At 40.8% G+C, this 26927-nt stretch overlaps 1 protein-coding gene across 7 annotated transcripts in view, besides 4 other annotated features; it reads left to right on the top strand.

Annotated features, from left to right (window-relative positions):
- The window catches only part of AP4E1 (adaptor related protein complex 4 subunit epsilon 1), a 98404-nt gene continuing 75546 nt past the window's right edge, over window positions 4070-26927 (top strand). For 2 of the 7 annotated variants that reach the window (XM_047432324.1, XM_047432326.1), the window contains exons 1-6: window positions 8087-8223; window positions 8656-8727; window positions 12026-12149; window positions 20509-20582; window positions 21676-21797; window positions 25587-25746. In XM_047432324.1, the coding sequence (XP_047288280.1) occupies window positions 12029-12149; window positions 20509-20582; window positions 21676-21797; window positions 25587-25746 (477 nt within the window). In that variant the 5' untranslated portion in view covers window positions 8087-8223; window positions 8656-8727; window positions 12026-12028. Of the gene's footprint in view, window positions 5222-5260; window positions 5507-5562; window positions 5998-8086; window positions 8224-8655; window positions 8728-12002; window positions 12150-20508; window positions 20583-21675; window positions 21798-25586; window positions 25747-26927 lie in introns of those variants that run through there. The other 5 variants (XM_005254264.5, NM_001252127.2, NM_007347.5 and 2 more) reach the window with 5 other exon arrangements.
- Window positions 4854-5595: an enhancer, noted in NCBI's record as "NANOG-H3K27ac hESC enhancer chr15:51200473-51201214 (GRCh37/hg19 assembly coordinates)". NCBI's record gives its function as "activates a minimal SCP1, AML or CMV promoter by ChIP-STARR-seq in primed H9 embryonic stem cells {active_cell/tissue: H9 hESC(primed)}" and the evidence as "EXISTENCE:reporter gene assay evidence [ECO:0000049][PMID:30033119]".
- Window positions 5070-5359: an enhancer, noted in NCBI's record as "active region_9401". NCBI's record gives its function as "activates an Ori minimal core promoter by ATAC-STARR-seq in GM12878 lymphoblastoid cells {active_cell/tissue: GM12878}" and the evidence as "EXISTENCE:reporter gene assay evidence [ECO:0000049][PMID:35858748]".
- Window positions 5380-5549: an enhancer, noted in NCBI's record as "active region_9402". NCBI's record gives its function as "activates an Ori minimal core promoter by ATAC-STARR-seq in GM12878 lymphoblastoid cells {active_cell/tissue: GM12878}" and the evidence as "EXISTENCE:reporter gene assay evidence [ECO:0000049][PMID:35858748]".
- Window positions 5596-6337: an enhancer, noted in NCBI's record as "NANOG-H3K27ac-H3K4me1 hESC enhancer chr15:51201215-51201956 (GRCh37/hg19 assembly coordinates)". NCBI's record gives its function as "activates a minimal SCP1, AML or CMV promoter by ChIP-STARR-seq in primed H9 embryonic stem cells {active_cell/tissue: H9 hESC(primed)}" and the evidence as "EXISTENCE:reporter gene assay evidence [ECO:0000049][PMID:30033119]".

The following is a 26927-nucleotide window of genomic DNA, read 5'->3' on the forward strand; positions in this document are numbered from 1 at the left end:
CGGCCTCCCAAAGTGCTGGGATTACAGGCGTGAGCCACCGCGCCCGGCCTTCTCTTTTCTTTTTTTGAGACGGAGTCTCACTCTGTCGCCCAGGCTGGAGTGCAGTGGCGTGATCTAGGCTCACTGCAAGCTCCGCCTCCCAGGTTCACGCCATTCTCCTGCCTCAGCCTCCAGAATCGCTGGGACTACAGGCGCCCGCCACCACGCCCGGCTAATTTTTTGTATTTTTGGTAGAGACGGGTTTTGCACCGTGTTAACTAGGATGGTATTGATCTCCTGACCTCGTGATCCCCCCGCCTTGGCCTCCCAAAGTGCTGGCATTACAAGCATGAGCCACTGTGCCAGGCCGGTTCAGCTTTCAAGTTAAACAATGATACAAATGCTTTTCCTTGAGAAACTATCTTATCTCAGTTATGCCTCAAGAATTTTTTCTTTTTCTTTTTTTTTTTTTTGAGACGGAGTTTCGCTCTTGTTGCCCAGGTTGAAGTGCAATGGCACGATCTCAGCTCACTGCAACCTCCGCCTCCCGGGTTCAAGTGATTCTCCTGCCTCAGCCTCCCAAGTAGCTGGGATTACAGGCATGTGCCACCACGCGCAGGTAATTTTGCATTTTTAGTAGAGATGGGGTTTCACCACGTTGGCCAGGCTGGTTTCGAACCCCTGACCTCAGGTGCTCTGCCCGCCTCAGCCTCCCAAAGTGCTGGGATTATAGGCCTGAGCCACCACACCCGGCCAAAAGAAAAGCCTCAGGATTTAAGAGTTTATACTTTATGAGGTTGTACTTTATGAGTACTTCCCATTTTGTCACAAAAAAAATTTTTTAAAAAGTGCACTCAAAGACTGAAATTTAATAAAATTAAGAATTCTTACTGCTTCATCAAGGATATTCTTAAGTGAAACTGACTTAAAAAAAATTGAGTGTATTGTTCCAGGATAAACTATGAGATTCAAAGAAGTTGTTCAATACATTATTTCATCACCACTTGTGTTTCTTGTCAAGATTTATGTAAAAGAGGATCTTCAAGAATTAGTTGGTGCTGACACTGGATGGGTATAAGCAAAGCAACAAGTCCAGCTACATGAATAATTATGTCCATTTTAAAGGAATTATAATTCTGCAGATGACATAGTAACTCAGTCTTTATATTTGCAACTAAATTTCTTTCTTTTTTTTGAGACAGTCTTGCTCTGTTGTCCAGGCTGGAGTGCCGTGGCACCATCTCAGCTCACTGTAACCTCTGCCTCCCAGGTTCAAGTGATTCTCCAGCCTCAGCCTCCCGAATAACTGGGATTACAGGCATGTACCACCATGCCCAGCTAATTTTTTTTTTTTGTATTTTTAGTAGAGACAGGGTTTCACCATATTGGCCAGGTTGGTCTCAAACTCCTGATCTCAAGTTATCCGCCTGCCTTGGCCTCCCAAAATTCAGGGATTACAGGCATGAGCCACCTCGCCTGGCCTGCAACTAAATGTCTAATTTGGTGAGTTATTGCATCTTTGGAAAGTAGCACTCCCATGAGTTCTTTTACTGATTATCAGCTAGCAGGCATTCATTAGTCTTTTAGCTATTGCATGTCCTTCTCCTATCAATGAAATATAATAATTTCATGTGTAAGATGCTTCAGTAGGTTTTTCATTTTTACTTTGAAAATGGTAATACAAAAGCTTTGGCTTTTATAAAGCATATCATCTCTATGTTGAAAGTATTAAATTCCCTTTCTTTTAAATTCTGACTGGTCTGAAAATGATGCCTCAACTTGATTGGCACCATAATAGTATTTGAAAATGTTCTGTTGAATGACATAAAATAAGGCAAGTGATTAACATCTCTAATGCCAAGGGAAAGAAAGAAGCTTTTGTCATACTTTCCTTTGTTATTTATAGTTTCGACCAGATTTCTCCCTTTCCCTGAGTCAGTGAATTCTGATACTGATGTCAGCTTCATCTTTTTCGGCATCTTTACAGACGGGAAGGTTAGAAAGCGAATCTTCTAGTATCCCCTTTTTAAGCCAATGGAAGAACCTAAAATTAAAAAACTATACATAAAACAAAATTTAATTTAAAGATAAAATATTAAATTCCTTTTTTTTTTGGAGACAGAGTCTTGCTCTGTCACCCAGGCTGGAGTACAGTGGTGCGATCTTGGCTCACTGCAACCTTCGCCTCCTAGGTTCAAGCAATTCTCCTGCCTCAGCTTCCCAAGTAGTTGGGACTACAGGTGTGCCACCATGCCCGGCTAAATTTTTTGTATTTTTTTTTTTTTGAGGTGGAGTCTTGCTCTGTCGCCCACGCTGGAGTGCAGTGGTGAAATCTCGGCTCACTGCAACCTCCGCCTCCCGGGTCCCAGCAATTCTCCTGCCTCAGCCTCCCGAGTAGCTGGGATTACGGGCGCACGCCACCATGCCCGGCTAATTTCTGTATTTTTTTAGTAGAGTCATAGGTTGGCCAGGCTGGTCTTGATATCCTGACCTTGTGGTCTGTGCACCTTGGCCTCCCAAAGTGCTGTGATTACAGGTGGGAGCCACCGTGCCTGTCCGAATATTTTGTATTTTTAGTAGAGACGGGGTTTCACCATGTTGGCCAGGTTGGTCTGGAACTCCTGAGCTCAGACAATCTGCCCGCCTTGGCCTCCCAAAGTGCTAGAATATAGGCATAAACCACCGCGCCCGGACGACAAAATATTAAATTCTAGGCAGGGCGTGGTGGCTCACACCTGTAATCCCAGCACTTTGAGTGGCTGAGGCGGGCAGATCATGAGGTCAGGAGACCGAGGCCATCCTGGCCAACGTGGTGAAACCACATCTCTACTAAAAATACAAAAAATTAGCCGGGTGTGGTGGCACGCACCTGTAATCCCAGCTACTCGGGAGGCTGAGGCAGGAGAACTGCTTGAACCTGGGAGGCGGAGGTTGCAGTGGGCCGAGATCACACCACTGCACTCCATCCTGGGCAACAGAGCGAGACACCATCTCAAAAAATAATAATAAAATAACAAAATTAAATTCTAAAAGAGTATCCCTTTCTGGCTGGGCGCAGTGGCTCGCGCTTGTAATCCCAGCACTTTGGGAGGCTGAGGTGGGCGGATCACCTGAGGTCAGGAGTTCGAGACCAGCCTGGCCAAAATGGTGAAACTCTGTGTTTACTAAAAATACAAAAATTAGCCGGGCATGGTGGCGGGCGCCTGTAATCCCAGCTACTCGGGAGGCTGAGGCAGGAGAATTGCTTGAACCCAGGGGGAGGAGGCTGCAGTGAACCCAGATTGTGCCACTGCATTCCAGTCTGGGTGATAGAGCGAGACTCTGAAAAAAAAAAAATTAAATGAATAAATGAGTATCCCTTTTAGATAAAGTTTAAATATTTTAAAATGTTCTCAATATATTAAAAAATATTCTTGCGAGACAAGCCAACAAATTGAACTTTTTTCTTATGTTCCCATATAGGTATTAAAACAACTTCAGGATTTCAAAAAAACTCATTTATTAGGTGACAAGGAGGTTACAGAGATTAGAGCAGGTATAACCGAAGATAGCTTGTAAGTGTAGCTGTAGCTGGTGGGCCGGTTGAGGTTCTGGACTTCGCGGTGCAAAATAATTTTGAAGTCCAAAGTAAAAGCAAGCAAAAGAGTTTATTGCAAAGCGAAAGTACACCCTCACAGCTGATCAGAGCGGGCTGCTCAAAGGTGAGACAGCATGCACTGACACTGGGGAAACTCCCTTTGTAGGAGTCTCACAGGATCATTCATGAAGCGGGGAGAACGGGTGCTGCTATTAAGCACGTTCTCTGGTTTTCTGTCGCCATGTGCGCTGTGGTTGTATATGCTAGTACATACACTGCATGTCTTATTAGTATCTTAAATCTTCACCCAGGAGTGGTGTTTTTTTTTTTTTTTTTTTTTTACTATTATAATGAGTATAATTCAGCCCAACGACACTGATCATGGGTTTCTGCGCTTGTGAGAGTTTGGGGATTTTCCCTTCTGCTCTCGTACCTCTTTGCTGCAAAATTTTCTAACCAGGAGCCTCGGATGTGGTTTGTACACTATGGGCTGGTTTGTTCTATTTATTTAGCAAGTTTGTTCCCCTTGAAGGGAGGCTATCACCACCTACCTAACCTACCTCCTAGAAACACACTAGGAGTACTGAGAGCAAATTGCATTAATCTCTGAAAACGCACGTATTTATGCCCTAAACCTACTACCTTAGAAAATTCTAGAAAACACAAGGATACTCCAGGATACATTTTACCAGCTAGTCAATCGTCATCTAGCCGCTTGAAAACTCTGTACATTTCCAACAGAATGAGGGTAAAAACGGCAAATAACACGTAAGAAACGTTATCAATGTTGTTTTGACTTTGTGAATTCCCTAGAAGGGTCTCAGCGACCCTGAGGTCACCAGACCACATTTCGAGAGCCATTGTACCAGACTCTGTTCTAGATAAAAGACGGAGCAATCGGAATGAATAAAATACTCTCTCTATGGGGAGCTGTTTACGTAGTGGCAACTGCGACCTGTTCTAAAGTGGAACAGAACCGAGCGCTGTGAGAGGGTGGGACTTGGAGACCTATCCTTGCCCGCCGGGCCAGGGGAGTGGGCTCTAGAAGGATGACCTTTCAACTGCGACCTGCTGAGGAGGAGTCGGCAAGGGTGGCCGCCGACCAGTTCTCTTTCCCGCCCACCTCCCCAAATCCCAGGAGAAGAGGGGCGGACGGGAAGCGACAGTGGCCGCGAGTCCCCGGCACGCGACGGGCTCTCAACCTGGCACGCCGAATCCTCAGGACAGCCCCGCTATCACGCAACTACTCGGGTGTCCCAAGAGTCGCCAGGGCCGGAGCCGCGCGCGGCGCCGGGGACCCGCGTGAAACCGCCTGTGGGAAGCGGGCGGGTGGCGCGCGCTCCGGGGACAGTGAGAGGCGGCGGACGGCGCGGGGACGTCCCGAAAAAGGCGCAGCCAGGAAGACGCAACTCCTGACGCGGTCTCGGGCTACGCGGAGGCGGCTAGTGGGAAAGGGGGACTCTGGGAGACAGTGCCTAACAGGGCCAGGCCCCCGACGGCTTCCTCAGGAGGACTCACGGTTCTGGGGGATTCCGGAACCGCTACCCCGTCGCGAGAAAGGAGGTCTACTTACGCGCGCAATCTCGAGCGAGCGGCCTTTTCCACCCCCGCGGTCTCTTGCGCCCTCTGGTGGCCTCTCGCGAGAACGACGCTGAACTTGTTCAGGTGGGACGCCAATAAAGATTTCTTATTCAAAAAACAGGAAGTGCCTACGGAGGCCGGGCCGGCAGCGGCGGCCGGGCATGAAGCCGGGCGGCTACGGGATCGCGGGCGGCGGCGGCATCGCGGGCGGCGGCGGCGATGAGCGACATAGTGGAGAAGACGCTGACGGCGCTGCCGGGACTCTTTCTGCAGAACCAGCCCGGTGGTGGGCCCGCGGCCGCCAAGGCGTCCTTCTCCTCGAGGCTGGGCAGCCTTGTCCGCGGCATCACAGCCCTCACCTCCAAGCACGTAGGTGCCCGCCGGCCCGGGAGCTCAGGGACATCGGAGTGAGGCCCCCGCGCCAGGAGGCCCTGGCCGGGCGGCGAGACTTCAGGGCCTCTGGGGTTAGCCCTCCGGCGGGGCTCAGGGGCTGCTGTGTCGGTTCGTCCTTTCGTCTGCCTGGAAGCTTCACTTTCCTGCTGGGACTGACAGCAGGGAAGCCGAGTTTCCACAGTTAGTTCTGACACTGACTCTTTGATCGGGGGCACATCTCTGTAACCTCTGAGCCTCCGTGTGTTTTCTCAACGTTGTGGTGGAAAAGTACTGATACATAATTCATAGGTTTTTTGTTTGTTTTGAGGATTGGGTGAGATGTCAAGCGTGTGAAAATACCTAGTGCGATGGAAGTGTCAGACATTATTTACCTTCCACAAAGTTTTTTTTCCCTACTCAGTTTCCTTCTCTCCCCCGGTGCCTTCAACTGAACAACAGTTCAGATGTCGCATACCTGAAGAGATCCTGTGAGCCTCTTGTTGAATATCTTTGGGGAGCTTGAGGTTCTTGGGTTACAACAACGTGTTGGGCAAAGAAAAAGCACAGTTCTCTCAAAATGTAAAATTTGCTAAGTCTCTGCCTCAAGTGGGCTTTGAAAATGAGCAGTTATAAAAATTCTTAAACTTTTAAAATTTTTAAATTTTTATTGACGGAGTCTCTCTCTGTCGCCCAGGCTGGAGTGCAATGGTGCGATCTCGATCTCGGCTCGCTGGAGCCTTAAGGTTTTAAAAATTTTAATTTTTGTTTTTTTTTGAGACGGAGTCTCGCTCTGTCGCGCAGGCTGGAGTGCAGTGGCGCGATCTGGGCTCACTACAAGCTCCGCCTTCCGGGTTCACGCCATTCTCCTGCCTCAGCTTCCCGAGTAGCTGGGACTACAAGTGCCCGCCACTGCCTGGCTAATTTTTTGTACTTTTCGTAGAGACGGGGTTTCACCGTGTTAGCGAGGATGGTCTCGATCTCCTGACCTCGCGATCCGCCCGCCTTGGCGTCCCAAAGTGTTGGGATTACGTGCGTGAGCTACCCTGCCCGGCCTTAAAATTTTTAAATTTTTAATGACGGAGTCTCGCTCTGTCGCCCAGGCTGGAGTGCGATGGTGCGATCTTGGCTCACTGGAGCGTCTGCCTCCCGGGTTCAAGCGATTCTCCTGCCTCAGCCTCCCAAGTAGCTGGGATTATAGGCGTATGCCACTACGCCCGGCTAATTTTTGTATTTTTAGTAGAGACAGGATTTCACCATGTTGGGCAGGCTGGTCTTGAACTGACCTCAAGTGTTCGCTCACTTCGGCCTCCCAAAGTGCTGGGATTACAGGCATGAGCCACCGCGCCGGGCCCCCACAGGCGCTCGATGGTTGCACGGATTGTGTAGTATACCGATTCACAGCTACAAGGAGTTTATATCTTAAAAAGAGCACGTGTTAATGTCATTATTTGTTCAACAGATGTTTATGGAACAAGGTTATGTGTTAGACACAGGAAAATAGAATTAAACACATTCCCTTTTCCCAAGGAATTAGTCATTCGTTTTGGGCTTAAGACAAGTATAAGCATGACTACAATGCAATAGAAGTGCTAAAAGAGAAGGAAAGACAGAAAAGAAAGTGCTCTGAAGGTTTAAAAAAAATATTTTTTTGGCAGCTCTAATAAGTTGATGCTATCCGGAGAGAACCTGCTTCACATTCCAGAATCATTACTTGTGGGCTTGTCTTGTTTTGTTTTGTTTTTGAGATGGAGTCTCACTCTGTCGCCCAGGCTGGAATGCAGTGGTGCAATCTTGGCTCACTGCAACTTCTGCTTCCTGGGTTCAAGTGATTCTTCTGCCTCAGCCTCCCTGGTAGCTGGGATTACAGGCACACGTCACCATACCCGGCTAATTTTTATATTTTTAGTAGAGACAGGGTTTCGCCATGTTGGCCAGGCTGGTCTTGAACTCCTGACCTCAGGTAATCCACCTGCCTTGGCCTTGGCCTCCCAAAGTGCTGGGATTACAGGCGTGAGCCACCACGCCTGGCCATTTGTGGCCTTAATAATGTTGTTTTTCTTAAGGTTTTTGTCCTTTGCTAATTTTTAAGGGATCCTCAATAAAATTTTTTAAAAAGTTATTTTTGGTCTTAAATAGCAGTTTGAAACTGTAGATAGGCATCCACGTGTATCAGTACGTCACTAGTGGCTTTTGAATAGCCATCTGATGAACATGTAATTCAGTGTGTAATTTAAAGGTAGCATGATATTAGCCAAAAAAAAATGGGGCCAATTTTTTAAGTGCTTAGGGAGATAACATACAATGCAGACAGTAGGAGTGACCACATTGGTATGTGTCTGAGATAGGAAGTTATGGAAAGGATTTGGGGAATGAGGAAAAGACAGGGAAGAAGAATGTAGTTTAAGGGAAAAAGACCTATTTCTGTTTCTGCTTTCTTACCCTGTTTCTTAATTCCATGAAGACTTTTTACTTCTAAGGGGAAGATGTGAGATGAGACTCTTTTCTTGGGCCAATACATGGAGAATTTCTACTCTCTCTCCACCTTTAATTTTTTTTTTTTTTTTTTTTTTAGATGGAGTCTTGCTCTGTTACCCAGGCTGGAGTGCAGTGGTACGATCTCGGCTCACTGCAACATTCACTTCCCGGGTTCAAGCGATTCTCCTGCCCCTGCCTCAGCCTCTCGAGTATCTGGGATTACAGGACCCCCAGCTAATGTTTGTATTTTTAGTAGGGACGGGGTTTTGCCATGTTGGCCAGGCTGGTCTCAAACTGCTGACCTCAAGTGATTCACTCGCCTTGGCCTCCCAAAGTGCTGGGATTACAGGCATGAGCTGTTGTGCCCGGCTTCCACCTTTAGTTTTAAAAAAAAACATTTTCTGCTATTCTACCATTAAGGGGAAGTAACTGAGTAAAGAAAAGAGGAAGGATGGGTTAGCCTGGAAATATTTATTCTCTCCAGGGATGGTTCTGAGGTTTGGAGAAATGCCTTTAGATAGATCGTAAGCAGATAGTATTTGTAACTCTCCTTTAAAATAATGTTTCTTTTAAATTAAAAGTATTGTAAATTATATTTTTCCGTTTAGATAAATGCTGTTACAGTTTTAAAAGACAGTTAATCAAGCATTTAAATATTTTCACTTTCTCAGGAAGAAGAAAAATTAATCCAGCAGGAACTGAGTAGTCTGAAAGCGACTGTTTCTGCTCCTACTACAACACTGGTAGGTTTGCATAGTCAGTGCCAACACATTTGAATTTGAAATCTAGTCACTGTGGACTCAATAGTGGCATCTAACTGATGATCGGTTGCTAAAATTTGATTTATCATAGTCAAAATGAATTATAGTTGGTAGCAACTCAGATGTTAACTTTAGCCTTTTATTGTTGACTGGTTTGCACCAGAACAAGATTTGCCTATGTGAAGTCAGGGCTAATGTGATGATGATTACATAAATGTGGAGATACTCTTGGGACCCTAGTGCTGATCTGATGTTTTTAATGTTATGCATTTGGAAAAGGTTGGGATTTCAACATGATATTTTCAGACCTGAATTAATATATTGTAGGTATATCTAATTTTATTATTTAAGACCTAGTTGTTTTTAAAGTTTGTTCTACATAATCTGATTTTTCAAACAATATTCAGCAACTATTTAATGAATGGTCATTCATTATTATGCAGGCCACTGTGGGGCTGTCCCAGCATAGCTAGATTAAAACTCAGTTTGATTTTTTTTTTTTTTTTTTGAGACGGAGTCTCGCTCTGTTGCCCAAGCTGGAGTGCAGTGGCGTGGCGTGATCTCAGCTCACTGCAACCTCTGCCTCCTGGATTCAACCGATTCTCCTGCCTCAGCCTCCTGAGTAACTGGGACTACAGGTGCCCGCCACCATGCCTGGCTAATTTTTGTATTTTTAGTAGAGTTGGGGTTTTCATCATGTTGACCAGGCTAGTATCGCACTCCTGACCTCAAGCGATCCACCCACCTCAGCCTCCTAAATCAAAGTACTAGGATTACAGGTGTGAGCCACCGTGCCTGGCCTGATTTTTTTTTAAATGAGATTTTGTTTCAAGCAACATATCTTCAGCAAATATTTGGTGAGTGTCTTCAGTATATAAGCCACTGTGGGAATGTTTTCCCTCCCTGCCAGTAAAAATATCAGGACGATCATTTTGCATAAGCACATGATTGTGAATTTGAATAACACTTGTAAAGTCTGAGAGAATGAATATATTTTCTTCTGTGGTCATAATAATAGTATGTGGCAAATAAAACTGAAAACATAATCTGATATATCCATGTGTATATATGTATATGTATGTTTGTGTGTATACATGTATGTGTGTCTGTGGCTATGGATAAAATAATTATGCTTCATAGTACTAGATAGAAACGTTAAACAGAAATGGTTTTTGTTTGTTAGATTTCCATTTTTTATGATTGGCATCAGTATATAATTTTCCTTGTTCCAAGGCAGAAACCTGAAGTTGGGCAGAACTAAGATAAATAGGTAGAAATTAGGAAGGCAGAGTTTGAAAGGAAGGTTTTATAACACTATGGCCATCCAACTCTGTGTATATCTTACAGAGTAGTCTGTCCCAGAGCTGTTCATGTAAAGGTTGGCTGTCAGAGAAATTGTAAAGAGAATTCTTGCATTGGGGAATGCACTTTCATCTCTAAAAATAAATGCATGAGATGTAATCTCACTTAGATAAAGTTCATAATGACTTTTGAAAAACTCTGAGATAAAATGTTACAAATCTAGGGTTGAAACTTAATGGCTTAAATGAACCCTTTAACTCCTAATTAATGTAGAAGTCTGAAGAGGGACTTCCAGTATTTTTTGTTTATCTTTTGTTTGTTTTCTCAGTATTTTGTAGCTTTTTTGGGGGCGGCAGGGTGGGAGGATGGAGTCTTGCTCTGTTGCCTAGGCTGGAGTGCAACTGCGTGATCTTGGCTCACTGCAACCTCTGCCTCTCGGGTTCAAGCGATTCTCCTGCCTCAGCCTCCCAAGTAGCTGGGATTAATTACAGGCGCAGGTCCCCACGCCTGGCTAATTTTTGTATTTTTTTAATAGAGATGGGGTTTCACCATGTTGGTCAGGCTGGTCTCGAACTCCTGACCTCAGGTGATCTGCCCTCCTTGGCCTCCCAAAGTGCTGGGATTACAGGAGTGAGTCACTGTGCCCAGCTAGTGTTTTGTAGTCTTAATTAATGTGTTAATGAATTAACTTTTACTGCTTTAAGCACAAGTGACCTGAGTTAAATCTCATTCCCTTAAGATTTTCCTATGGTTTCTCTTTAAATTCTTTATATTTACATTAAACATTATTATCCTTGCTTTCAAATATTCAATTTTACTGTTTCCTGAGCATTTTGTTATTTAATAATCCTGTAATATGCTAACCCTAGTTAATTTTGACATATTAAAATAGTCTATGTGGACGGGTGTGGTGGCTCACACCTGTAATCCCGGCAATTTGTGGGGCTGAGGTGGGTGGATCATTTGAGGTCAAGAGTTTGAGACCAGCCTGGCCAACATGGTGAAACCCCATCTCTACTAAATATACAAAAATTAGATGGGCGTGGTGGCGTGCACCTGTGGTCCTGGCTACTAGAGAGGCTGAAGCATGAGAATCGCTTGAACGTGGTAGGTGGAGGCTGCGATGAGCCAAGATCTTGCCACTGTACTCCAGCCTGGGTGACAGAGCGAGACTCTGTCTCAAAAAAAAAAAAAAAAAAAAAGTCTGTGAGCTTTTAGTTATTTTGAAACACATTTTATTTATATATTTTACTTCTGATTAAGATTTTCCATAAATATTGAGAATGCAAATATCTTAGTGATAAAACAAATTTTTTAGCATCCCTTAAAAATTTTTGGCTTGCATTGAAGATATTAAAAGACCCCATTAGAAAACTAAATATTATTACAATAGCTATGCCATTAATGAAATCATGCCCCTCAGTTTATAATTGTGAGTTATTAAAAAAGAGTGCCTATAAAGCAAACTATTCCATATTGTACTTAGCACAATAATTCTGAAGAAAATCTAGGTGCAATTTGGTTTTCCAATGTGAAAAATATTTTTGTTACAGGAATTATTACCAACTTGTGGGAATTTTATGGATGTTTTCATTTGACAAAGTCTACTAAAATTATGTGCTGTATTTTAGAAGCCAAGTAAAATGACCATGATGAAATCTTGTGTGAAGACCCCATGTATCACATTATAACCAAATTTTTCACTAGGGACACATAGAAACAGCTACAGTTGATTTATTTTATAGTAGTGCTACTAACAAAATAGTGAAATAATTTTACTAAAAGTAATACTGTTGGTAAGTAAGATCAGGAGCAATTTTTATTTATAAAGTCTGATATTGGGTGATTAATTTGTAATATATATGTTATTTCTTCAGCACCAGGATTAAAGGATTCTCCTTTTAAATTATGAGAACATAGTTAAAACAATCTAAATATTCTGTTTATTTATACAGCTACTGGATATTTTGCTTTTCAGAAAATGATGAAGGAATGTATGGTGAGACTTATATATTGTGAAATGCTTGGATATGATGCTTCCTTTGGCTATATTCATGCAATCAAGTTAGCCCAACAAGGAAACCTCTTAGAAAAAAGAGTAGGTATGTATGTGTTTTAAGACTTTGATGCTTTCATGTTGTCCTTGAAGTTGCATCTATTATACAAAATGAATGATGGCATGTATATAGTATGTTTTTAGAATACTGTATTATAATTTCTAAAACTTTAAAAGATCACACTTCAGAAAGTCAAAGCCATTTATAGGAAATCAGTTTTCCTGATGCATAGCATTTTGGAGTTAAAGAGAAGACTAAAGATTTCTTGCTCTTGTGATGGCGGTTAGATGACTATATATGTCAGAACTCATTGAACCATACACTTAAATATTTTTTGTATATAAATTATATGTCTATAAAGCTGACTTTTTTGTATATAAATTATATGTCTATAAAGAGCTCTTTTTTTTGTTGTTGTTGAGACAGAGTCTCTCTGTGTTGCCCAGGCTAGAGTGCAGTGGCGGGATCTCTGCTCACTGCAACCTCTGCCTCCAGGTTCAAGTGATCCTCCTATCTCAGCCCCCTGAGTAGCTGGGACTAAGCTGTGTGCCACCATGCCTGGCTAATTTTTGTGTTTTGTTTTTGTAGAGATGGGGTTTCACTATGTTGCATAGGCTGGTCTTGAACTCCTGGGCTCAAGTGATCCACACGCCTTGGCCTCCCAAAGCGCTGGGATTACAGGTGTGAACCACTGCGCCTGGTCAATAGAGCTGATATTAAGAAGTCTGTTTAACCTTATTAGTTTAATGGTCAGAAATGCTTCTTTATAGAATAAAACTGAAATTTATTAAAGTAATTTTAAATATCTTGTTCTTAGCTTCTCAAATGTTAGCTATGAGGATTAGCAGTGTCTTAAAAAAATTTTCTCTCTATAGTCAACCTTTAGGGCTGTTAGGAAAAATTCTTTTAAGCAATTAAATATTCTATTCATAAATGTTCAACTTTATATCAGAATCTCAAGAAGGAAGTATTTTAGAATAGTAAAGGTTAGAACACGTTCTTTATTCAGAGAAGTTGATAATGTCATGTCGTTAAGGACTAGCATTATTCATAAGTTATATTGCTCTGTGCTATCAGATGACGGGGTGAAGGTGACAGATGTCTTGGTAAACATTCTGAGACTGAGTGCACACAATATTCCACTTGTGGAACCCTACTCCGCCCAAAACACACTTAGATCTTTTAAACTTGTTATATTCTTTCCTCCAAGTAGAATGTCCTTTAACATTCTCTTTCTCTCTTTCCATATTCCAAATCAAATTTTATTTCTCCTGTGATCACTCAGGTGGCTCCTACCATCTGTTACCTTTTGTTATCTTTTCATATATTAATGTCTTAGCTCCTGAACTAATTTTAAGATCCCTAAAGGCAGGAATTTTTTTTTCGAGGCTTCAAATTAGTTTTTATTAGTAATTTGCTTTTCTTAAAACTTTGATTTTTCTTAAATATTATACAAATATGGAATGTAAGCTCTTCCAGTCATATTCACGATTTTCAGTTGTCATCCCAAACCTTGAAAATTCACCTGTCAGAATTTTCATATGTTAAAGTCTTTCTAATGGTGTTGCTCTTTTTAGCTTCTGAAAGACTGTATTTGTAGTTTTTTTCTCTTCTTTGGTTTGGTTTTGATCAAAGAAGGAAAACATCAAAAAGGAAATTTCAACCATTGTTGAGCATTTTGAGAAAAGTGAAAACCAACTTCATCCTTTTCGTTTCTAAGGAAAAATGTGTTAGATGTGAATACATTTGGAAATGTTTACAATTCAATCATAACAAGAGTCAGTGATGGCAGATTTTAGGCAAAAGTCTGGTATTTCTTTGCCTCCCTCCCATCTTATCTTTTCATCGCATTTCTTTTACTGTTCTGCTTCTCAATTTCTTTGCTTTCTAATCTTTCCCTTCAACTTTGGGCCATTTTCTCTTATTCCCTTTACATATTAGCTTACAGCAATTGAGATAACATTGATACCCTTCTTAGAGGTATCTATTTTGTTAAAGACTCTGGAAGACAGATCCAAATAAATTAGCCTTCAATAGTGAAATTTTGTCTTGAGTAGGAAAAATATTTATGAACAGAAAGTCTTCTTAGGGATTGTCTGTTTATAAAATTTATTCAGTATTCATGGAATTGATAAGATGAGTGCCCACTGTATGCCAGATACTGCAGTTAAACTTACAGATGAATAACTTACATTGCTTATTCATACTTACAGATGAATAACTTACATTTTGAGGATCCCTGCAATGACGGGAAAGGACCGAAACAAACAGAAATTAATAGTTACAGTACAGGCCGGGTACAGTGGCTCATGCGTGTAATCCCAGCACTTTGGGAGGCTGAGGCAGGCAGATTGCTTGAGCTCAGAAGTTGGAGACCAGCCAGGGCAACATAGTGAAATCCCATCTCTACAAAAAATACAAAAATTAGCCAGGCATGGTGGTGTGCACCTGTAGTCCCAGCTACTTGGGAGGTTGAGGTGGGAGGATGGCTTGTGCCCAGGAGGCAGAGGTTGCAGTGAGCTGAGATTGTGCCACTGCACTCCAGCCTGGGCAGCAGAGCCAGAGCATGTCTCAAAAGAAAAAAAAAAAGTTATAGTATAATGTTGTAATTGCCTTCATGAAGGCATGAACCATGTGTTGTGCTGATATAATCAGGCATACAAATGACCATGGGAACCTTTGTTTCCCTGGTCTCAGACTTTGAAGAGGAGAATATGCTGATTAGATTTTGTCTGAGAGTTCTGAAATGAAACTACCTGGGAACCTGTTTAAATATTGCATGGGTAGAATTTAGTACTTTGCTTTGGTCCTGCCATTTTTGTTTTGGCTTCCTTTGGCATGAAATGGGCCTTAGTCCTGCTCTTTCTTGTTACTTGGCTGGCTTCCATGTTAGCATAGGCAGGAAATTTTGAAAACAGTAGATAGTTATTAAATATTAGATAGTTGATGGTAGAATTATTTTGTCCAACTGTTGCTACATTTTGCTTCTTAGACTTACATATAATTTAAATAATTTTCAATTTTATTTTATTTTTAAAATATGTAAAGCATTATGGCTCACTTTCATCTCTAGCCCCACTACCCAGTCTTCCCTTTACCCTCATAGGGAACTATTTTCATTAGTTTCTGATTAATCTTTCCATTGTTTTATTTTGAAAAAGCAAGCAAAAGTTTGTGCACACATTCACTCTCTTTTATATAAAAGGCAGCATGTTATCTATACTATCTCTTACTTGAAAGATAGCATACTATATAGATTATTCTATACCTTGTTTTGACATCTTTATACTTTTATACAGTTGCATAATTTTTATTGGGTGGATGTACCATAGTTTTTTCAACCACATCCCTTTTGGTGGACATATGGCTTATTTTTGATTTTTTTTTTTGTTGTTGTTCTCATAAATTATGTTGTAATTTGGCTGGGCATGGTGGCTCATGCCTGTAATCCCAGCACTTTGAGAGGCCGAGGTGGGCGGATCACCTGAGGTCAAGAGTTCGAGACCAGCCTGGCAAACATGGTGAAACCCTGTCTCTACTAAAAATACAAAAAATTAGCCAGGCATGGTGGTGGGTGCCTGTAGTCCCAGCTACTAGGGAGGCTGAGGCATGAGAATCGCTTGAACCTGGGAGGTGGAGGTTGCAGTGAGCCAAGATCACGCCACTGCACTCCAGCCTGGGTAACAGAGTGAGACCCTGTCTCAAAAAAATAAATAAATAATGTGGCCAGGCACGGTGGCTCACACCTGTAATCCCAGCACTTTGGGAGGCTGAGGTGGGCAGATCACTTGAGGTCAGGAGTATGAGACCAGCCTGACCAACATGGAGAAACCCTGTCTCTACTAAAAATACAGAATTAGCTGGGCATGGTGGTGCAGGCCTGTAATCCCAGCTGCTTGGAAGGCTGAGGCAGGAGAATCACTTGAACCTGGGAGGCGGAGGTTGCGGTGAGCTGAGATCGCACCATTGCACTCCAGCCTGGGCTACAAGAGTGAAATTCCATCTCAAAAAATAAATAAATAAATAAATAAATAAATAAATAAATAAATAAGTAAATAAATTATGCTGTAATTAATAACCTTTTATATGTATCATTTTATAGTTATGGATGCTTATATTAAAGGGGATCTCAGAGTTATTTTTATTGAGACTCATGATCTTTAGGAAAATATTTTCTTGCCAATTAGAGGGACGTGTATCTGCAGGCATCAGATGTTTTTAATGTATATTATTGAGTGGTAATCATTTTTTAAAGATATAATTTATGGGGCTGGGCACGGTGGCTAATGTCTGTAATGCCAACACTGTGAGAGGCTTAGGTGGGCAGATCACTTGAAGTCAGGAGTTCGAGACCAGCCTGGCCAGCATGGTGAAACCCCATCTCTACTAAGAATACAAAGATTAGCCTTGTGTGGTGGTACATGCCTGTATTCCCAGCTACTTGGGAGGCTGGGGTCAGAGGATTGCTTGAACCTGGGAGGCGGAGATTGTGGTAAGCTGAGATTGTGCCACTGCACTCCAGCCTAGGCAACACAGCGATAATATGTCTAAAAAAAAAAAAAAAAAAAAGATAAAATTTATGCCTTTTTTTTTTTTTTTTTTTTTGAGACGGAGTCTCGCTCTTTCGCCCAGGCCAGAGTGCAGTGGCGCTATCTCGGCTCACTGCAAGCTCTGCCTCCCAGGTTCACGCCATTCTCCTGCCTCAGCCTCCCAAGTAGCTGGGACTACAGACGCCTGCCACCGTGCCTAGCTAATTTTTTGTATTTTTAGTAGAGACGGGGTTTCACTGTGTTAGCCAGGATGGTCTCGATCTCCTGACCTCGTGATCCGCCCGCCTCAGCCTCCCAAAGTGCTGGGATTACAGGCGTAAGCCACCGTGCCCGGCCTTCTTTTTTTTTTTTTGAGACAGAGTCTCTGTCACCTAGGCTGGAGTATGGTGGCGCCACCTCGGTTCACTGCAGCCTCCGCCTCCTGGGTTCAAGTGATTCTCCTGCCTAAGCCTCTCGAGTAGCTGAGACTACAGGTGCGTGCCACCGTGCCTGGCTAATTTTTTGGTAGGGACGGGGTTTCACCGTGTTAGCCAGGATGGTCTGGAAATCCTGACCTCATGATCCACCCGCCTTGGCCTCCCAAAGTGCTGGGATTGCAGGCATGAGCCACTGCGCCCGGCCATTTTATGCCTTCTACATGTCTTCACTCTGGTACTGTTGTCTCATCCACTCCTGAATTTTAAAGCCTGCTTTGGTGCTTTCTCTGATGCAGAATGTCTTTTTATTTGTATCTTCTTCTGAGATGGAGTTTCGCTGTTGCATCCCAAGCTAGAGTGCAATGGCACGATCTCGGCTTACTGCAATCTCTACCTCCCAGGTTCAAGCGATTTTCCTGCCTCAGCCTCCCGAGTAACTGGGATTACAGGTGCCCGCCTGCCATCACACCCGGCTAATTTTTTTATTTTTGGTAGAAACAGGGTTTTGCCATGTTGGCCAGGCTGGTCTCGAACTCCTGATCTCAGTTGATCCACCCACCTTGGCCTCCCAAAGTGCTGGGATTACGGGCATGAACTACCGTGCCCAGCCAGAATGCCTTATTATTTTTTTTATGAGTATCATTGAATAAATACTTTTTTTAAGTTATTATTTTCTTTTTAGAGATAGGGTCTTGCTACGTTAGCCAGGCTGGTCTCAAACTTCTGGCCTCAAGCAGTCCTCCCACCTTGGCCCCCCAACGTGCTGGAATTATAGGCATGAATAAATAAACTTCAGTGCTCATAAAGTTAGGTGTTAAGTGCTTTATCTTCTGAGATAGTATTTATCTTCATTTTACCTTTTCTTTTTTTTTTTGAGACAGAGTCTTGTTCTGTCACCCAGGCTGGAGTGCAGTGGCGTGATCTTGGTTCACTGAAACCTTTGCCTCCTGGGTTCAAACGATTCTTATGCCTCAGCCTCCCAAGTAGCTGGGATTACAGGAGAGTGTCACCACGTCTGTCTAATTTTTGTGTTCTTAATAGAGGTGAGGTTTCTCACCGTGTTGGCCAGGCTGGTTTCAAACTCCTGACTTCGAGTGATCCGCCTGCCTCAGCCTCCCAAAGTGCCTGGCCATTTATCTTCATTTTAAAGATGAGAAGACTGAGACTCAGAAAAGTCAAGTAACTTATAGAGCATAGGAACATAAGTCATAGAGCAGATAAATGGAGCCAGAGCCCAAATTTCTGTACTCAAAGCTTGTATACCTCATTCTTAGTTATACCAAATATATTTTGTAATCGTAGTTATTATTCTTTGTTTCTCTGAAAATTTTTACATTTTTTGAGTCACAGTGTTTTTCCCCCTTTTTTTCTGATTGTTGAAACAGTTGGGATATTATTCATAACAGAAAGAACTAAGGTTTCATTGAGATGGTCTTTGGATTAGTTTGTTGACCTTGATATTGGTGACTTGGGAATGGGTGATACCTTAGCTGAGCAGGTGATTTATCAGCAATCTGATAAGACAATCTCTGCTTTAAATGCTTTCTGGGGGCCTGGGTGTGGTGGCTCACTCCTGTAATCCCAGCACTTTGGGAAGCTAAGGTGGGAGGGATCGCTTGAGTCTGGGCGTTTGAGACCAGCCTGGGTAACATAGTGAGACCCTATCTCTACAAAAAAAAAAAAAAAAAAAAATTAGCTCGGTGTGATGGTGCATGCCTTGGTCCCAGCTACTTGGGAGGCTGAGGTGAAGGATTGCTTGAGCTTGGAAGGTAGAGGCTGCAGTGAGTTTTGATCGTGCCACTGCCTTCCAACCTGAGTGATGGAGTGAGACTCTGTCTCAGGAAACGAAACAAAACAAATGCTTTCTGGGATTTTCCTCATCTCTTTCTTGGCCCGGGTCAGATTTGTTTCAACTCTTAAGATTGTGAGAGTAATAGCTCTGCTCCTCCGACCTCTAGTGAAGGTGTTGGAATTGGTCATGCTACTACCTCTTGATTGTAAGAATTGGAAGTTTCCGTTTTCTCCTGTTCCATGGTAGACACAGACAGCATGGATGCTGGGTAATGATGGTTATAGTTAACATTAGAATCCCTGATGAAAAGGCTGAAAGAATTGAGAAGAACGAAAAACAATGAGCATGGAGTCAGGGAATCAGGTCAAGATAGACTATGTGGAGAGGCAGTAAAATATGGGGGTTTAAAATATGGACTGACTTCAACTGTCTGGGTTTGAGTCCTGGCTCCACCATGTGATAGATTGGACCTTGAGAAATTGCCTTTTTTTGGGTCTCTTTTTTTTTTTTTGAGACCGAGTCTTGCTCTGTCGTCTGGTCTGGAGTGCAGTGGCGTGATCTTGGCTCACTGCAAGCTCTGCCTCCTGGGTTCATGCCATTCTCCTGCCTCAGCCTCCCGAGTAGCTGGGACTACAGGTGCCCGCCACCACGCCTGGCTAATTTTTTGTATTTTTAGTAGAGACGGGGTTTCACCGTGTTAGCCAGGATGGTCTCGATCTCCTAACCTCGTGATTCACCCACCTCGGCCTCCCAAAGTGCTGGGATAACAGGCGTGAGCCACCACGCCCAGTCTTGGGTCTCATTATATAGGGATAAAAAGGCCTATCTCATTGTGTGGTTATGAGGATTAAATGAAGTAATGCTTATAAAGTACTTGACCCATAGTGACTGTCTAATTAAAGTGTTAGTTATTATCAATGTGAAGCCTGACTGAGAAAATTCCTTGGAGTATCTAGATTATATGTACATGGCATTTGTTATAGTGTTAATATATTTCCTCAATGTTAAAATGTACTTTAAAAATGTTTTAATATTATTGCAATAAAAATGCTTATTTAAGCCAATGAGTATATTTAATGTGGCAGACAGTGTTTCTTTCCTAAATAATTGTTATTCCCTCAATTGAGAAAATAAGGTATTGTGTGTGGCTTAATATATTTAATATATGATTTACATCATGTGCGTTGACATTAGGTGGCTAGCTCACTCAGTACAAAGAGCTAGTAACTCACTATTAACTGTAGTGATTAGGGTTTTTTTTATTATAGTGATTAGTTTTTGAATTATATATTTGGCTATAAAATAGCAATTATAAAATAGAGAATGCTTTGATTGATAATGTAAAGATTTGCACAAAAAATAGAAGGCATGTCTTCTTAGTGCCATTTACAAGATTTTAAGTTGATACACATAGTGTCTATTCCGTTTCTGGAATATCCTATGAAATACATAATTCTGGAAGATTTCAGGGTGAAGAATAGCTGAAATCTTCCTTACTGAAGGTTTTTAACCTTATATTTTGCAATTTGTGTTTCTGTTTACTTGTAACTGGTATCTTTGATACTTACAGGACTGCTTTGTTTAACTTCGTGTGAAAAGTCTGTTTTTGGTAGTTAGTAATCAGACTTTTCCCTCAACTTTTATAGGTTATTTGGCTGTTTCCTTATTTCTACATGAAAGTCATGAATTATTGCTTCTCCTTGTGAATACAGTTGTAAAGGTATTGTATTGTATGTTGGTTAATATGAAGTCATAATTCTTGTCAGCACCTGATATTTCTCCTCGATCATATTCAACTAGATGAGATTAGAAGAAAGTGGGCTTGCAGAATGGGCTTAGAAGAATCTTTTAGATCAGTTTCTGCATCTATAAAATGGAGTTAAATAATAGAACTTACAGAGTTGTGAAGATTAAATGAAATACTATGTGAAGTAGTAGCTGCTGCTCTTCTTGTTATAATTTCATTTTAAAACACAGAGTTAGAACTAAAGTTCAAGTCTCTAAGTTGTTAGTTTAGGTATACTTTCCATGCTGTTATCTTTTTTTCTAGGATCTGTTCTAAAGGGATATAGATATAAACTGGGTAAATGAAGTCTTTAAAATTTAAAAAGTCATTTAAAAAAAGAATAGAATATAATCAAGTAACTGAAATGTAGAGATAATAAAAACAATCCTCACTCACAATATTTTCTGTTAAACTCCCAAATCAAAATGATAATGAGATGTAATTGAGTTGTTGAGCTTTTTATCTTGTGTCAGTTTTTTGATAGAGAGAGAGAACAGTATTTTCTGACCTTTAAGTCATATACTATATTAAGGTTACTAGTAGCTTAAATTTCTTCCAAACTTAAAAAATATATTTTTAGGTTCTATTAGAATAGTTTTATAGACCATATGGATAGATAAGTACATATGAATGTGTGCATTTTATTGTGAATATTCCAGAATCACTTCCTTTTAAACTTACATTCATATTATTGTTGATTAATAAGAAAAACTCATAAAATTGTTTTATTATTGGTTTAGAAAAGTTTTAAAGGCTGTAATAAAGGAGACTACTTTGGCTAGATTCAGAACAGCGATAAAATTTCCTCTTCTATCAGTTGCTTTTTGGCTTTATTTGTCTACTGACTCTATTAAGGCAAATGAAACAAATAGGAGCATTGCAATAAAATATGCCATAAGTTTGGATGTACAAATTAATTATAAATAGCACAAAATTACTAAGTATATAGGACCATTACAGTGTTGAATTTGCCATTCCTAGTTTCAGTATTTACACTAAATGTTTTCTTTGCTTAATGTTGTGCCAGGATCTGCAGAGCACTAACCTAGTAGAAGTGTGTATGGCACTGACTGTTGTTAGCCAGATTTTCCCCTGCGAAATGATTCCAGCTGTTCTTCCATTAATAGAAGATAAACTTCAACATTCTAAGTAAGTAAATTCTTTTGGGATAGGCATCTATGCCATATATTTCAAAACAGAAGTTTATGCTAGAAAATTTATTACAACTTCAGTGCTACCAGGATAGAGATTATTTGACTGCTAGGAATAATACAAAAATCTTCAATAGGATCATCTTTATTTTTATGTGGGTTTAGGGAAATGTTAGACAGCTTTCTAAAGTTAGACTAAGAGACAGTGAGGCCTAGTATCCAGGAATCCTTGGCTTGCCTCCCATTTCTACCACTAATGAGCAGTGGTCTTGTTTTTCCTTGGCTATATGGGGTTGGTTGAAGCTCCTTAGTTCTACCAAAGTTGTTTTGGGGATAAAGTGAAATAATGAAAAACATATGGAAATTGTGCAAGTGTTGTGAATGCAAAGCTTCAGTGTAGTGGGAAGATGCTTTTTTTTTTTTTTTGAGACAGAGTCTCACTCCGTTGTCCAGGCTGGAGTGCAATGGCATGAACTTGGCTCACTGCAACCTCTGCCTCCCGGGTTCAAGCAATTCTCCTGCCTCAGCCTCCCATGTAGCTAGGATTACAGGTGCCTGCCACCATGCCCGACTAATTTTTTTTTTTTTTTTTAATAGAAACTGGGTTTGGCCAGGCTGGTCTCGAACTCCTGACCTCAGGTGATCCACCTGCCTCGGCCTCCCAAAGTGCTGGGATTACAGGTGTGAACCACCATGCCCGGCCCGGGAAGATGCTTTTTATATCAAAACCACAGCATTTTAATCCTATTTTACAGCAGAATGTTTCCAAGCTTAATTTACTTTGTAGTATTTTGCTAATCTTCTCTTGTAAATTTCCTTAACTGTCTCCTTATCAGACTGACTTACTTTTCACTGTATTTGAATTATTAATATTTTGTTTTTGACCAAGCCCCTTTATGTCATAATTTTAATTAATTAATTAATTAATTTTTTTGAGACAGAGTCTCACTCTGTTGCCTAGGCTGGAGTGCGGTGGAGTGATCTCGGCTCACTGCACGCTCCACCTCCCAGGTTTAAGCAGTTCTCTGCCTCAGCCTCCTGAGTAGCTGGAATTACAGGAACACGCCACCATGCCCAGCTAATTTTTTGTATTTTTAGTGGAGGCAGGGTTTCACCATCTTGGCCCGGCTGATCTTGAACTCCTGACCTTGTGATTCACCTGCCTCGGCCTCCCAAAGTGCTGAGATTACACATGTGAGCCACTGCGCCTGGCCCATAATTTTTAAAGTTGGAAAAGGTTTGCAATCATTGTGATTATGGTATGTCAGTTATATATTCTTGATGAAGATTTTTTTGTTACTCATACAACATTTATTTTACATACTTTAAATCAGTATTTTTAATGTTCTGAGATTGCAAAATGTTGTTTTATAGCTTGTATTCTTTTTTTTTTTTGAGATGGAGTCTTGCTCGGTCGCCCAGGCTGGAGTGCAGTGGTGTGATCTTGGCTCACTGCAACCTCTGCCTCCCGGGTTCAAGCTATTCTTCTGCCTCAGCCTCCTGAGTAGTTGGAACTACAGGCGCCCGCCACTATGCCTGGCTAATGTTTTAGTAGAGACAGTGTTTCACCATATAGGCCAAGCTGGTCTCGAACTCCTGACCTCGTGATCCACCTGTCTTGGCCTCCCAAAGTGCTGGGCTTACAGGCGTGAGCCACCATGCCCGGCCAACTTGTATACTTTAAGAAATATTGAATCATGAATCTTCCAGCTAAAATGATAGCTTTTACTAAGAATTACAGAATAACTTCATAGGTCTTTCAGACTTTTTATGTATTGTATATCATATCTGTGTTTAGAACGAAGGATGATTATGGACAATTAATTATTGGAAATATTTGCTTTTTTGAGATTTATAAGGTGATCTGATTATAAAAGCAGCATATTTTTGCTTAACTTTTCCTTACCACTACTTTTGTGGTGACCTTACTTACTGACCATTTGTATGAAATCCTTCTGAGAATTGAAAGGTCCCGTTTCAATTTTTTTCTTTATTGCTTTGTGTTTAGTCTAATTTCAAGTCCTGGCTAGAGTTTAGACTTTTTGAAACTCAGCTTTTGCAGTTATGGCCATACTCAGCCCCATGCTCTGGAGTAAAGAGCTGACGAATATGAGGCAGAGCTATAGGTAAGCCAGTAGATGTCACAAAGAATATTTGAAATAAGGCTTGAATTCAACTTTTGAATCCCTGGTTGTATTTCAGCATACCAACCCCAGAGCCTGAATCTAGGTCTCTCGTCTTATGTTAGTACCACCACTTGAGGCCAGGCCTGTGAACTCCTGGGCCTATTCAGAGTTTTTTTTTTTTTTTTCCTCACTTCATTTACCTATTCTCCCCCAGAATTAATATCAGTTAACACGCAATGGCAATACACTGTGACGTGGCTTGCATTCACCACAGTATTAATACTAACAGTAAATCTGTTATTAATCTGCCTTTCTTTTCTTTTCTTTTTTTTTTTGTGAAGAGTTTTCCGTTATGGCATAGCTTGCCTAGGAAGATAAGAGTTGTTTATTAATGGAATTTGTATGACCACTTATTAAGAATCTTATAAAAGGAGTTCTTGAGTGGAACACAAAGGATTGCACTGAATAGTCTCAGTCTTGAGATTCTACGACAGAAATATCTGTTAAGGAACCCTAAAAGTAAATACTTCACTTTTGTGATGTTTGCTGCTGTTCTGAGCACTGCCAGCATAGTCTGCAAATAACAGATATGTAGAAATAGACAAGAGAGAGAATTTCTAACAAGGAAGAAGCTTCCTTGGAAACTACATCATGAACATAGGATGGCATTTCTTTATTTTTGCTTCTGTGTGCTAGATGTTATCTGCTACAGATGAAGTGCAAAACTAGTATATACTTTTCTCTTTATTATCATGAGGTTTTGAAACAGATGAACTGGGCAAAGAGAGGAATAACATCTTTTTATTCCATGTGTGTCCTTGTATTCCTCCCCTCTGTCCCCCAGAATATTTGGAGTCTGCTATCCAGTGATATATATATATAAAAAAGAAACATAGAAAGCTACTATTTTAGGGTGAGAATGTTAACGAGTTTTTTTTCTTTTCTTTCCTTTTTAATTTGAGACTGAGTCTTACTCTGTCACCAGGTTGGAGTGCAGTGGCACAACCTTGGCTCACTGCAACTTCTGCCTCCCAGGTTCAAGCGATTCTTGTGCCTCAGCCACCCAAGTAACTGGAACTACAGGTGTGCACCACCACACCTGGCTAATTTTTGTATTTTTAGTAGAGACAGGGTTTCGCCATGTTGGCCAGGCTGGTTTTGAACTCCTGGCCTCAAGTGATCCACCCACCTCAGCCTCCCAAAGTGCTGGGATTACAGGCCAAAGATTTTTAATATTAATAAAAAGATTTTAATATTACTAGCTGAAATTACCTATTACTTAAACTTACTGTTGACTTTTTTTTTCAATTTTTAGAGATACGTCTTTTAAAAATGGAATTAGAGAATTAAGAAATTTGTTTTTCATGTTTTTTTTTTTTTAATCTCAAAAGTAATATATGCTTGTTACAAAAAAAAATTCCCTAACTAGATAAATATATAACACGGGCAGTTAAAGTTTTGAGACCTTACTTCCTAGAGGTAACCACTTTTTATAATTTGGTATATTAGAATAAATAAATTAATCACAAATGTATAGTTATCTCTTTCTTTGTAAATTAAGGTAATGAGCCAGTATTTTGAAATCATCTGGCCTATAATCTTTCAAAGTAAATACTTGAGAATTCAGATTGTCTTGTTTAAATTTCATTTTTTGTCTTCAGGGAGATTGTACGAAGAAAAGCTGTTCTGGCATTATACAAATTCCATCTCATTGCTCCTAATCAAGTACAACATATTCATATTAAGTTTCGGAAAGCACTTTGTGACAGAGATGTTGGGGTCATGGCTGCCTCCTTGCATATATATCTTAGAATGATTAAGGTAAGTTGGAAATTTTAGCAAGTACTGAGTAGTTACCATTAGAAAAATACAATTATGGAATTAAAAAGAAACAGATATTTTGGTAAAATGCTTAGTTAACATTTTATAATTTTATTATTGACCTTTGAATTAGTAGTTTTGCAAGTTGTTGAGAGCATGAGTTGTAGGCACATTACAGAATTAGTTTTTTTTTTTTTAATGCCTAAAATTTTTTGATGTTACTAAACAGGTGTGGAAAAATGGTATCAGTGGAAGGTGTCTTAAGTTTGCAGATTTGTGTTTTTTCAAGCAGTAATTCTCTTTTATATAACTTCATGGGATGCATAACATTTTATAGAAATGAGGAAAACCAGCGGGGGTTGTGCAAGCTATAGATTGTAGTATTGACTCCATGTATTAATTCTGTATCATATGAGGAAAGAGGGTTGAATGTTATGGTAAAACACTTTTCTAAATGGCGATGGTGGATTTATACTAATTCATCCTTAGTGTATTGCCTGAAACCATTTGTGTTCAAATATACATATTTGTAACAGATTTCATGGCACCTACTATAACAAAATAAAATATGCTATTGAACTCATTTAAAGTTATATTGTTTTTTATGTATCGTGTTCTAAAATAGTACAGTTTAAATAAATGTTCAATATTAAATTTTATTTTTTCCTTAACATTTACTAAAATTTGAAAGAGCTTTATTTCCCTTCCAAAAAATTTTCCCTTGATACATAATAAAAATTAGAATAAAGAATCTAATGTTCCTTTTAAGGAGTGTGGATATAATTTCCCCAGTCCAAGAGATTACTCAGATACATAATCAAGGCACACTCCTTCAGAAACAAATATTTTTAGATACTGTGTGGCTAATTAATTTTTAATTGGCAGGCACACTGATTTTGGGGACTTTTTTTTTTTTGAGATTGAGTTTCGCTTTTGTTGCCCAGGCTGGAGTGCAATGGCATGATCTCAGCTCACCACAACCTCCCCGTCCCAGGTTCAAGCGATTCTCCTGCCTCAGCCTCTCGAGTAGCTGGGATTACAGGCATGTGCCACCACACCCGGCTTATTTGGTATTTTTAGTAGAACCAGGGTTTCACCATGTTGGTCAGGCTGGTCTCGAACTCCCAACCTCAGGTGATCCGCCCGCCTCATCCTCCCAAAGTGTTGGGATTACTGGCGTG

The sequence above is a fragment of the Homo sapiens genome, chromosome 15 (genome assembly GCF_000001405.40).
Source record: "Homo sapiens chromosome 15, GRCh38.p14 Primary Assembly".
Classification (NCBI taxonomy): domain Eukaryota; kingdom Metazoa; phylum Chordata; class Mammalia; order Primates; family Hominidae; genus Homo; species Homo sapiens.